The 12,325-nt window shown below is 46.7% G+C and overlaps 1 protein-coding gene across 1 annotated transcript in view; it reads left to right on the plus strand.

Moving 5' to 3' along the window:
- Nucleotides 1-12,325, plus strand: part of DTD1 (D-aminoacyl-tRNA deacylase 1) — a 178,591-nt gene that overhangs the window by 148,841 nt on the left and 17,425 nt on the right. The window contains exon 5 of the mRNA NM_080820.6: nt 7,206-7,377. Coding sequence (NP_543010.3) covers nt 7,206-7,358 — 153 coding nt within the window. The 3' untranslated portion in view covers nt 7,359-7,377. The remainder of the gene's footprint in view (nt 1-7,205; nt 7,378-12,325) is intronic.

Here is a 12,325-nt window from a genome sequence, read left to right on the forward strand (position 1 = left end):
TTCAGTCATTCATCTGTGGCCACACGAGCCACATCACTGTGTCCATCTCAGCTAATGGGTGGCTCGGGCTCCTGCCCAATGCCTGTGTCCAAGCCTGCCCTGCTGCCTTGCCGTGCCGGTCCTGTCTGAAGTCTCTGATGATGATTTTCACTGGTGTTGCCTCAACTCCTCTGCCACTCCCGACAATAATGCTTCAGTTCTGCCTAGGGTGCCCCTCATTCGGCCCTTCCCTCCTGTCACCCTACTCTCATCTGGGCCTCTGTTCTTCTGCCTTTGCCTGTGTGGCCCTAACATCCTTGTCTTCAGTCATCTCTGTGTGTTGCTTTCTGCTCAGACACACTGCCCTGCCATGTGCCATCTGCCACGGTGTGCCTGGGAGTGAGTAGACACTCGGGTGATGCCAGTCCCTGGAGTGCCCCTGCCTTCTCACCCCCAACCAGGACCTGACTCCCACTCCCAGCACAGCTTTCGTTGGCCCTCCCCAAACTTGGGGCTTGCCTGCCCTGGAGACCCCCCCATACTTTGGCCACCCAGTGGCCCCACTAGGATGTGCGGATGCTAACTGCATTCTTAGGCCATCACCTGAGGGCTTGGTCCTGAGTGTCCATGTCCCATTTGCTGGGCTTCCCCTGCCTTGGGCTGCCTTGGGTCAGCAGGTGGGCCCGGGTCAGACTCTGCTCCCTCACTCTGATCTGCTTCTCCCACTGCCACTGACAGGCACACAGGGCCCTTTCCTGAGGCCAAGTGCCAGGGACATCAGAGAGCCAACACTAGGCTTGTGTCACTTCTGAGGCTTCCCCACTCTGCTCTTAGCCAGCCCTATTACTGGTTGAGTTAAACTGTTGCCGGTAATTGTATTTGATCCTCTGGCTTCTTCAGCCTTCGGGACAGAAAAGGATGGACGAATTGAGTCCTGCAGCAGCATGTTGCTAAACCACCAAGGAGCTGGACCAAGGTTAGGACCAGTTTCTCTTTAATTTGGCAAATGGAGATGGCTCTGAGGTCCCTTTATGCTTTCTACCCATGAAGACAAGTGTGCGGCTACAGAGGGCAACAGCAGAATGGTGGGGGCTCGAAGCACCCCCAGGTTCCTCTGCTTTACCCCTAATACACATCAAGTGCTTAGAGCAGGCCTGGCTTCGTGTGAGTGGGGATTGCCAATTATTTTTCCAGTGGACAGTCAGCCTCAGGAAGGCAGGGCTCTGCTTGGTTTTCTGCTGTGTCCTTGGCACCTAGAGTAGGTATAGTCAGTGCCCAACAGTTAACTGCTAAGTGAAGTTAATAGATTAAGCAAGAGAGGTCATGTGGCTCCCTGGGAAGAATGCGGGGTTTGGCGTCTGGAGGCCTGGGTGTGGTCCCCCTCAGCCGCTAGCAGGCTGCAAAACCTTAAGCAAGTCACATGACCTTGCTGGGCGTTGCTGTCTTGTTTATGTCCATGGGCATGTGGTGTAAGATTTTGCTTTCAACTTCAAGTGCCACAAACCTACATGAGGGTGGCTTATAACGTGAGGGTGGCTTAAACAGTAAGGAGCCTGGTTGCCTCCCCTAAGGGGAAAGCTGGTTCAGCTGGCTCAACTCTGCCGGGGCTCTCCAGAGACTTCTGTGCACCTCTGGATGTCCCCTCCTCGTTTTGAGAGCTGCACCATTCCGAAGCTCCGTTTCCTCCCCTGACTATGGCCAAGGATAGGAAGGAAGGCAGTGTTTCCTCTCACCTGTGTTTATTAGGGAGGGAAGCCTTTTTCCAAAGACCCTCTGCAGTCCCCTCAGGTCTTGTTGGCTATGGTTTGTGTCACATGCCATGTGACAGGAGAACCAGACATTGCCACCTCTGAAGTAGGAGACTCCTGCCAGCAGGGAGGGAGGAAGGGGCTGGGAAGATGAGTAGCTGCGGTGTAGGCAGCTGGCAGTGGCTTCTCTGTGGGACATTGATGATCATTCAACTACTATCAGGTTATTAAGAGCAAACAAGGTCACATAGGTGGAAATGCTAAGTGGGGATCCCTAACAGGTGACACATATGCACCCCATCAACATTATGGTCCAGATACATGTTTGAAAAGAAAGTGCGAATGTTCTTAGGTAGCGCTTGTCCTCTGCAGTGTGTCCTCAGGCCTTAGGTGGAGCTTGTCCTCTGCAGTGTGGCCTCAGGCCTTAGGTGGAGCTTGTCCTCTGCAGTGTGTCCTAAGGCCTTAGGTGGAGCTTGTCCTCTGCAGTGTGGCCTCAGGCTCCACCCTGCCATATTGTCTTACTCTTGGCCACTTAACTCATTTTGCTTCCTGGCTGGTCTCTCAAGGCATTTAAGTTTGCAGGCCCTGAAATCAGGCATTATAAGATCAATGTTCAACTAGTTCATTCTTAGATTGTGCAATTAGAGCTTGGGCATCTTAATTAAAAAGAAAAACGCTTATGTTTTCAGTGGATTTAATCATGAATTGGGTGAGTCTGGATCTGCATATTCCAGTCCCCCCTCTTTTGGCACACGTGTTCCCAAGCTTCACTGTGAAAGGTGCAGGCTGACCACAGGATCATCACCTGGCCCCTGGTGGTGTCTGTGTGTCCAGGGCAGCTTTTGGAAGGCTGGGTTTCTCTCTAAGGCGCTAAAGCCAGCATGGTTTGGACAGTCTCTCCCTTACAATGTGGGCTTTCTTGCCAGTTGATTAAAAACAAGCAAACAGACAAAAACCCAGAAGTACTCTATTTCAGTGTTTGTAGATTGTATGTTCACAGACCTGTAGTGGTTTATATTCTCCTTGACATGCATCTCCTCTTAATTTGAAAGCTGTTGACATTTTGCTTGAGCTCATATGCAGTACCAGTTTCTTTTCTTCTTCTTTTTTCTCATTTGTTTCCTTAAAAAAAAAAATCCAGCTGCTTTCTTGCTTTGAGATGTAAATTCCACATTTTGGCTGCATTGGATTCCAAGTTTTCCCAGAAAAGGCTTAAATTTATTAGGTTAGTTCACAATGTTCTCACAGAGAACTTGAGTTTGCGGCATGGAGCCATATGTGGTTGGGTTGTTTTAAGATAAATACTGTAAGAGAGTCAGCATTACATCACTGGCAGAAATGTGGGCTGTGCCTGTCATTTAAATAGTTATCACATGTGATTTAAAAGCTGGCTCTCGGTGGGAGGGGATAGGGTTGGAGGGGAAGGTCAGATGGATGTTTCTGCATCTGTGGTGTCTGTGCCTCTGCCTCAGCACAGAGTCGAATGACACTACGAGGAGCTGAGAAGCCTCCAGAGGGCTGTGCTAATTGGGGTTACTCCCCATCGTCCTCTCTGGATCTGGTTCTCAATAGCATAAAAGAGTACAAAGTGAAGAACAGGCTGGGTCACAAAGAGGCCTTTGCATGAGATTACTTAGCAAGGGGGAGGAGGTTTATTTAATTTTGTGACTGTTGATATTCACATTTTGTTTTTTTTTTGTTTTGTTTTGTTTTGTTTTTAATCTCTGAAGATGAGAAACAAAACTGAGAGGGCATCTTGCTTTTTAAAAATTGTACTTTCTCAGCATCTAATTTGGACCTGTTCATGAGTATTTATATATGTGTGTATATGTGTATGCATCTACACACAAGTAAGACATACAAGTATGAACACATGGATGCGAATATAAAATGTCAATTGCTGGCAGCAGAAGGCAGCTTACCACAATTTACTGCAGAACACCAATTTCAAGATATTTGGATTTTATGAATCAGGAATATAGAAAACAAAAAGAAATTGGGGAGTCTAGCATGGATTGCTAACTTATGATTTCCAAAATTGCTTAATTTTTTAAATTATAGTAAAATACACATAAAACTTACCATCTTAACCATTTTAAGTGTATAGCTTAGTAGTAATGGGTATATCCACATTGCAAAAATCCAAAATCTGTTTGCAAGAAAGGGAATGAGACAGAAGGAGTCCTGTATACTGTCCTTATCATTTCATCAAAGAAAGAGCATTTTAATACCAGAAGACAGACGAAAGGAAAGAAGCCTGTTATTTTAGATGCAGGAAATTCCTCCTAACCTGTGGCAGAATAGTCAAGAGAAAAATATTTTTCCATGGAAAAGTAATACTACAAAGAACTATGTAACAAGCAGCTCTGTGTGGCCATTTCTCAGATTTTAAAAATGCTAGCTTTTTGTCATCTTTGCTCCAGATCATTCATTCCTACTTAAAGTGCTGCTGCATGAACTGTTTGTTACCAGGCCATGGCGAAACAAAGAACAAAACTGAGACGGCATCTTACTTTTTAAAACTAAAATTGTACTTTCTCAGCATCTAACTTGGACCTGTTCATGAGTATTTATATATGTGTGTATATGTGTATGCACACTCACTGTCACCCAGACTGGAGTGCAGTGGCGTGATCTCGGCTCACTGCAACCTTCATTTTGGGCCAGAATGAAGTCAGCTACACCACAGAGCTCACAGTTGAGAAGAAATCTCTCACAATACTTTGCTGATGAAGGAAGCTATGTACTGATTTACATTCTGACACGAGCATCTTACTGTTGCTGGTCCAGGTGTCACGTGCATTTTGTGGAGTGCACTGATTAGTAACTCTGCTCTAGATCTGGTTTTGTTCTTATAAAGTTGATGGTTACAGTTGAAGCCTGTATATATTCATTCCACTAAGATCCCATTATCCTCTTTCCCCTCCATGTTAACTAGTGTATTGAAGTTGGCGTGTATTCTTCCAGGCCATACTGTATTTGCATGAGCTCACTAGCTATGTAGAGTATTATTTTGTGTTAGTGGAATCCTACTGTATATAGCCTTCTGAAGCTAAATTTGTTTTGTATAACATGATTTTCAAGATTTATCTATTTTTTTTAATTAAAAAAAATTTTTTTTGAGACAGTCTTCCTCTGTCACCCAGGCTGGAGTGCAGTGACATGATCTCAACTTACTGTAACCTCTGCTTGCTGGGCTCAAGCGATCCTCCCGTCTCAGCCTCCCCAGTAGCTGGGACTACAGGCATGTGCCACCACGCCTGGCTAACCTTTGTATTTTTTTTTTTTTTTTTTTTTTGTAGAGACAGGGTCTCTCTATGTTGCCCAGGCTGGTCTCAAACTCCTGAGCCCAAGCAGTCGCCCACCTTGGTCTCCTAAAGTGCCGCTATTGCAGGCATGAGCCACCACCTCTGACCAAGACTTGGCTATTTTGATATATGTAGATCTACTGTACAATATTGCTTTAGGGGACCAGACCACATTACACGTATCTGTCCTCCTAATGTTGATGGACATTTGGGTTGTTTCTAGGTTTTTGCAAATACAAATGACACTACAGTCCATGTTCTCAGAAGCCCCCACTGTGCACACAAGTGGAAATTTATCCAGGGGAGTTTTCGGAGGAGAGTTGCTGAGTCAAAGGTGAAGTGATGTCTTCATTCACAAAATCTAATTAGTATATTAACCAAACTTAGCTGTATTCTACAGCTTTTCAGGTAAATGGGGAGTAGGAAAGAATAAGCCAGGGGTCCTCAACCCCCAGGCCAGGGACCGGTACTAATCCCTGTGGCCTGTTAGGAACTAGTCTGCACAGCAGGAGGTGAGCAGCCTATGAACGAGCATTATCACCTGAGCTCCGCCTCCTGTCAGATCAGCAGTGGCCTTAGATTCTCATAGGAGCGGGAACCCCATTGTGAACTGTGCATGCGGGGGATCTAGGTTGCAGGCTTCTTATGAGAATCTCACCAATGTCTGATGCTCTGAGATGGAACAGTTTCATCCTGAAACCATCCCCTCTTCTGTCCCCCATCTCACAGAAAAATTGTCTTCTATAAAACCGGTCCCTGGTGCCAAAAATGTTGGGGACCACTACTATAAGTCAATTATTAATAAATTTGATTTCCTGGACCCAATTGAGAGCTACTGGTTGGTTGTTCATCTCTCGAAGGGTTAACTCAAAGTCTGTTCATAGTGGAAGAAATGATCTGGCAGATTGGGGGAAGTGAATCCTCTTTGTGTCTTGGATGTGGGGCAGGGACCAGCAGGGAGAAGCCAGCCCTTCAATAAGTTTCCTTCTTTTTATGTAAACTAGAAAAAGTTCACAGACTTAGTCTGGGAGGGAGATAAAACTGGGTATTGCTGTCTCTTGTGTTTTTTGGTCTAAGAAAATTCCGTGGTTCAAAACTTGGCCGGTCTTCTCTGCTGGGTTTCTCAGCAGGCTTTCCTGTAGTGGCTGGGCTGCTGCTCAGTGTTAGATGATGGAAGCTTCTTTCAGCCATCTAGCTGATGCTTTCTTTGAAGAACTATTCAGGGAAGAAGTGGGCCCAGGTTCCATTCGAGTGAGACATCAGGGGCATGTCCCCTGCTGGCCTGGTGGGAGCCTAAGAAGGCTCTAGTGGCCAGTGTCCTGAGTGTTGCCACCACGCAGCCTGCAAGCAAGTCAGCCTTCAGTCTCAAATCAACTGGTAACTGAGACGGTGTTCAGTGTGCTTAATGCACTTTGTTTCACAGCCTTCTCTGTAATCTTCAGCAAAGAGTAATGTGTTTTGAACATTCTTTAGAAAACACGTGGTGTGGCATGGTGGCTCACACCTGTAATCACAACACTTTGGGAGGCCGAGGTGGGTGGGTTGCTTGAGCCCAGGAGTTCAAGAACAGCTTGGGCAACATGGTGAAACTCTGTTTCTACAGAAAAATTGGCATGCACCTGTAGTCACAGATACTTGAGAGGTTGAGGTGGGAGGATCACTTGAACCCAGGAGGTTGAGGCTGCAGTGAACTGTGACCGCACCACTGTACTTCAGCCTGGGCAACAGAGTGAGACCCTGTCTCAAAAAAAAAAAAAAAAAAAAGAAAAGAAAAGAAAAAAGAAAACAACAAGTAGAAGGTAACTTGATGAGAAAAAAAACTATCAAAGAAAAAAGTAAGAGATGAAAAGCCTTCATATATGGAGCTCTTCTAAGGCTGTTGAAGAAGGCTGTGGCATGACCGCTCCCTCATACTGTGTGCCAAGTTGAATTATGGTTGGGGAAAAGTCTGAGAGTGATTACTCCTATGACTAATGATTTGTTTCAGTGATTCAGGTGCCTGTTGGAAAAACATTCTGTGTATAATTTGGTATATCTGAACCACTGTGCTCTGCCAGGTTATCAGAAAAAAACTTTTCAATGGTTCCCACCTGGGAAGTCACTGGTGTGTGGGATACACAGGCATGTGTTTGTGTTTGTAAAATATTCTTTTTTATTTTTATTTAATCAGCTGTCAAAGCTCGAAAAACAGCAGCAGAGGAAAGAAAAGACCAGAGCTAAGGGACCTTCTGAATCAAGCAAGGAAAGAAACACTCCCCGAAAAGAAGACCGCAGTGCCAGCAGCGGGGCTGAGGGCGACGTGTCCTCTGAACGGGAGCCGTAGCTCAGGAGGCAGAATTCAGGTAGGAGTTTCCCTGCTTGGCTTCATCTTCCCACATTTTGGGGAAGCAGCAATGAATAGGAGGGAATAGCTGCTGAGGCTGAATTCATTCATTTCACAGCGTTCATCCATAGCTTCCTTAAATCTGCTGCCTTCCAGGATGGAGACAAAAGTTAGTGTGTTAGTCCGTTTTCACGCTGCTGATAAAGACATACCTGAGACTGAGTAATTTATAAAGATAAAGAAGTTTAATGGACTCGCAGTTCCACGTGGCTGGGGAGGCCTCACAATCATGGTTGAAGGCAAAAGGCATTTCTTACATGGCGGCAGGCAAGAGAGTATAAGGGTCAAGCACTCCAGCCTGGTGACAGAGCAAGACTCCATCTCAAAAAAAAAAAACAAAAAACAAGTGAAAGGGGTTTCCCCTTATAAAACCATCAGCTCTTGTGAGACTTGTTCACTACCAAGAGAACAGTATGGGGGAAACTGCCCCCATGATTCAGTTACCTCCCACCAGGCCCCTCATCTTGAATTGTAGTTCCCATAATTTCCACGTGTGTGTTCCTACGTGGGAATTATGGGAGCTACAATTCAAGATGAGATTTGGGTGGGGACACAGCCAAACCATATCAGTTAGCAAATAAGATTGTATTTTATTCATTGAGATGCAGGAGGGTGGCATACCACAGGCCTGGGGTGCCCACCTGGGGGTGGAACCTGTTTGTGCCACCTTCTCTGGCTGCCTGTGCCAGTCCACAGCTGCTGCTGTGATTGCCTGTGCAGAACACTCACTCACCGATACAGAATCCAGATGCAGATGCAGAGTCCACTTGCGCTCCTGCATCTCCCTTCCTGCTCTTAGCCACTCTAGCAAAGGGCACTGCCATCTCAGCAGCCTACTTTCATTGCCACCTGCCCCGTGTTCTGAAATCCTTCACAGTGCCCCGTGTGGCACTGTGAGTTTACTTTTCCTAAAATGGCATTTTATTCTTATTGTGGCTCACTGTAGCACGGAGTCCACCTCCCTGCCTGAACATCAGAGGCCTTGAAAATGTGATGCGGCCATCTGATGGCACTGTGCCTAGTTCCTCCCACCAGGGAACCTGTTTATTTTGCCAAGCACTGGACCAAATACTGGGTGCAGATTTGAGGGACCCAGGACCTGTCATGGGGAGGTCACAGGCTCAGGGAGAAGCATAGGAACAGTTATACTACAGCACGGTGCGTGTGGCAGGAGTGTGAACAGGTGTGGGGTGGAGATGGGAGGTCAGGAGAGGCCCCTCAGAGGCCTGGGACCAGATCTGGAAGGACAGGTGGCAGTGGGGAGGCAGATGAGGGGCAAGGGCAGGGGAGAGCTGCCTGAGCCAAGAGAAGAGCAGTGCAAATGCCATCTGGAGGTTGGGGGGCAAGGACAGGAGAGTTTGGGAATGGAGGAATTGCAGAAGGGTGGGAGTGTTGAGTGCCAAGTGGAGTGGGAGGGCAGGGAGCATCTCTGAACTTAGAGAAATAGGAGGTCTGGATTGTATAGGGTCTGGTATGCAACCCTGAGGAATTTGGATTTTATCCTGGGGCGGGAGGGACCTCTGAAAGGTTTTAAGTGTACAAGTGACATCATCAGATACAAAGTTTAAAAAGAGCACTCACTTGAGCAGCTTTGGGGAGTGAGGCTGGAAGCAGATAGGCCCATTAGGAGGTGATTGCAGAAGTCCAGAGAAAAAATTATAGTAGGAACAGAGGGGAAAGAGTGGGATTGAAAGATGTAAAGGAAATAGAATCATTTCAACGTGGTGACTGATTAGATTGGAAGAGGAGACATCCAGAAGGATGAGGGAGGAAGATGGGGGTTGCTGACGGTACCTATTTTGGGTGTGTTGTGTTTGAGGTGCCTGTTGGCAGCCAATGGTGATGCCAGTCGTCTGCTGAGTCTGTGGCTTTAGAGCTGGGGAGCCAGGTCTCGGACATACAATTTGGAGCCTTCAGCTCACAGACTGTGGTTAAAACCAAGTTAGGAGACAGAATTCACCCAAGAGACACCAAATTATGATAGAAGAACATCCAGAAGGTGGTTTTCAGCCTTCTCTTTCTCTTCTGAAAGAGAGCAAGGGTCAGAAGTGTACCTATGAAATGGCTTTTAGGATCCACAATACCAGGAAGTGAGATATATTAGGCCAGGTGTGGTGGCTTACACCTGTAATCCTAGCACTTTGGGAGGTTGAAGTGAGAGAATCACTCGAACCCAAGAGTTTGAGACCAGCCTGGGCAACATGGTGAGACCCCCGTCTCTTAAAAAAAAAAATTAGCTGAGCATGGTGGTGCTTGCCTATCATCCTAGCTACTCAGAAAGCTGAGGTGGGAGGATTGCTTGAGTTTGGGAGTTGGAGGCTGCAGTGAGCCATGATTGCAGCACTGCACTCCAGCCTGGGTGACAGAGTGAGACCCTGACTCTTAAAAATAAAATTTAAAAAAGATACATTAGTTGTAATTGGGCACAGTGGCACCAGCTCCCAAATGGATACACAGACGAGAGGAACAGAATGGAGAGCTCAGGAAGGGTGGATTGTTGGTTCATAGACAGTTTTAGGGGAGGGGACTGGACAGTGAGTCCTGTTGTCCTCTTAACTGTTCCCTCATCACTGTGTTTTCCTGCTAGTGTTGTGCAGGGAGACAACAGCACTGTGGTGACCAGCCTTGGCTTATGTATCTCACGTATGCATGGGACACTGAAGGGTGCCTCGAAGGGAAGGGACGTCACATAAAACTTCCACTCCCACCCCTCCAAAACTTCATGATAATTCACTTTTGTTAGTGGTCAGTTTTGGCATCACAAATATTGCTGGTGCTTCTGATTTATAGTCTGTCCAGAAATCCTTAATCCAAAGAGGTGAAATGTGCTAAGTGAAGACAGGGCACAGAGTGGCCCTTTAAGATACTTTTTCAGTTGTGCTAGTTAAATGGGTCAAGCAGTAATTCAGAAACTCATCGAGGTCTTCTTTCCATCCTGCTAACTTTTGGGTGACAGTGAGTAAGTTCTATGGTTTTTCTTCTATTGGAGGAAAACTCATCTCCGTCAGCAGTGCTTTGTGGAAGGCAGGCAGGTAGAAGTCATGGTGCCTGGAACTGGCCCCAGCAGCCTGGGCAGGGCGGGGGCAGGCATGTTCCCTCCCCGCCATGTTTCTGTGTTTTCTCAGGCTTCTCTGGATCACAGGGAAGCATGACAGAGAGAGCATCCCAGCGCTGCTCCTGTTCCTTGAATGAAAGGTGCAGGGACTGTTACTGGTTAGGCCAAGTTTTAGTAATTACTTGGTCCAGAAGCAAAACTCAGATTGGACACTCCAGTTTCCACTCCTGGGGTTCAGGGCAGCTTCCCAGCCTTAATGCTCAGGCATGGCCCATGTCTCTTCTTCCAGTTCTGTTGAAGACTGTACTTAATAGTCTTTCCTGCAGTGAATTGGGACCTTAACAACAGGTTCAAAACAACTTGGGCTGGGCATGGTGGCTCACGCCTGTAATCCCAGCACTTTGGGAGGCCCAGGCAGGCGGATCACGAGGTCAAGAGATCGAGACCATCTGGCCAATATGGTGAAACTCCGTCTCTATAAAAAATACAAAAAAAAAAAAAATTAGCTGGGCATGGTGATGCGCACCTGTAGTCTCAGCTACTCAGAAGGCTGAGGCAGGAGAATCTCTTGAACCCAGGAGGTGGAGGTTGCAGTGAGCCAAGATTGCGCTACTGCACTCCAGCCTGGCGACAGAGTGAGACTCCATCTCAAAAACAAACAAACAAACGAACAAAACAAAACAAAAAAACAACTTGAATGTTCAGACTCCCATCATGAACTTAATGAACGGGAGAGGGAGAAACATACAAGCCCCTGTCTCCCAGCAACCAGACCCAGATTATCAAGCTAAACACACTGGCACGCATACACACACACACACACACACACACAAATACAAATTCACATGTGCCTTGGAGGTTTGTATTTTCAAAACAGCTTAAAAAATTCAAATACCACCTAGCTGATTCCTTCCTGGGTTGTATTATTAACCTAATACATTTTATAAATTTAATGTCTTGATTTTTGCTTTATATCTGATCAGTGCTTTGAAAATCTTTGGTTTAATCTATGACGGGGTATTGAGTTTTGTTACTTTTAAAATTCATGCAAAACATAACAACTTAAAGACTTCCATTTGCTTTAGATTTGGCCTCAGAGTAATTCCTGTAGAGAATACACCATGGATGTTAGTGTTCTGTGGCCCCTGGGTAGCCTGGGAGTAATTCTGCTAATTCTGTGGGCAAGAAAAACACCCGAGGGTCTCATGGGCAGACAAGGGGACAGTTACTGCATGTGTCACAGAACATACAGGAGAACACGCTCATAGAAGGAGAACTGAGCACATAAAAAGAAGGGCAGGAGGAGGGTGTGAACATTTCACATTTTTCCCCAGTGTCTAAGTTTACGAGGGGAATTCTCATGGACTCGTAGGTATCTACTTCTTGCTTCTCTCACGTTAATGACATTTTAATAATGTATTTATTTCCTTCTCACGGTAGTGCAGATTAGGTAGCATAGAACTTGGGGTCAGTGGTGCTATTGTGAATCACCCAAATAGGGCCAGCCACAGAGGGGAGGCAGCAGGGGGAGCAGACCCCACGGGAAGTGTTTGGAAAGGAGGAGGCAGTTGTGTTTTTCCTTCCCCTTCCCTATAAGTCAAGTTCACTGCAGCCATGCCATCATGGGGCCCTTGGGAAGAGGCAGGCAAAAGAGGAGGAAGAGGGCAATGGAGGGAAGTTCCTGGCTGGCCTCAGCCTTCAGGTTAGGAGACTCAGCGGGAAGGAGCAGAGGGACAGATGGAGGGGAAGCTGAAGGCCCCTGGCATGTTCTGGCTGTGCTCCAGGCTGGGATCCTTGGAGTGGGGGAATGGGGGTTGGGTTGCAGGAAACTTGGAAGCCGTGACAGGGATTC

The sequence above is a fragment of the Homo sapiens genome, chromosome 20 (genome assembly GCF_000001405.40).
Source record: "Homo sapiens chromosome 20, GRCh38.p14 Primary Assembly".
Taxonomy (NCBI): domain Eukaryota; kingdom Metazoa; phylum Chordata; class Mammalia; order Primates; family Hominidae; genus Homo; species Homo sapiens.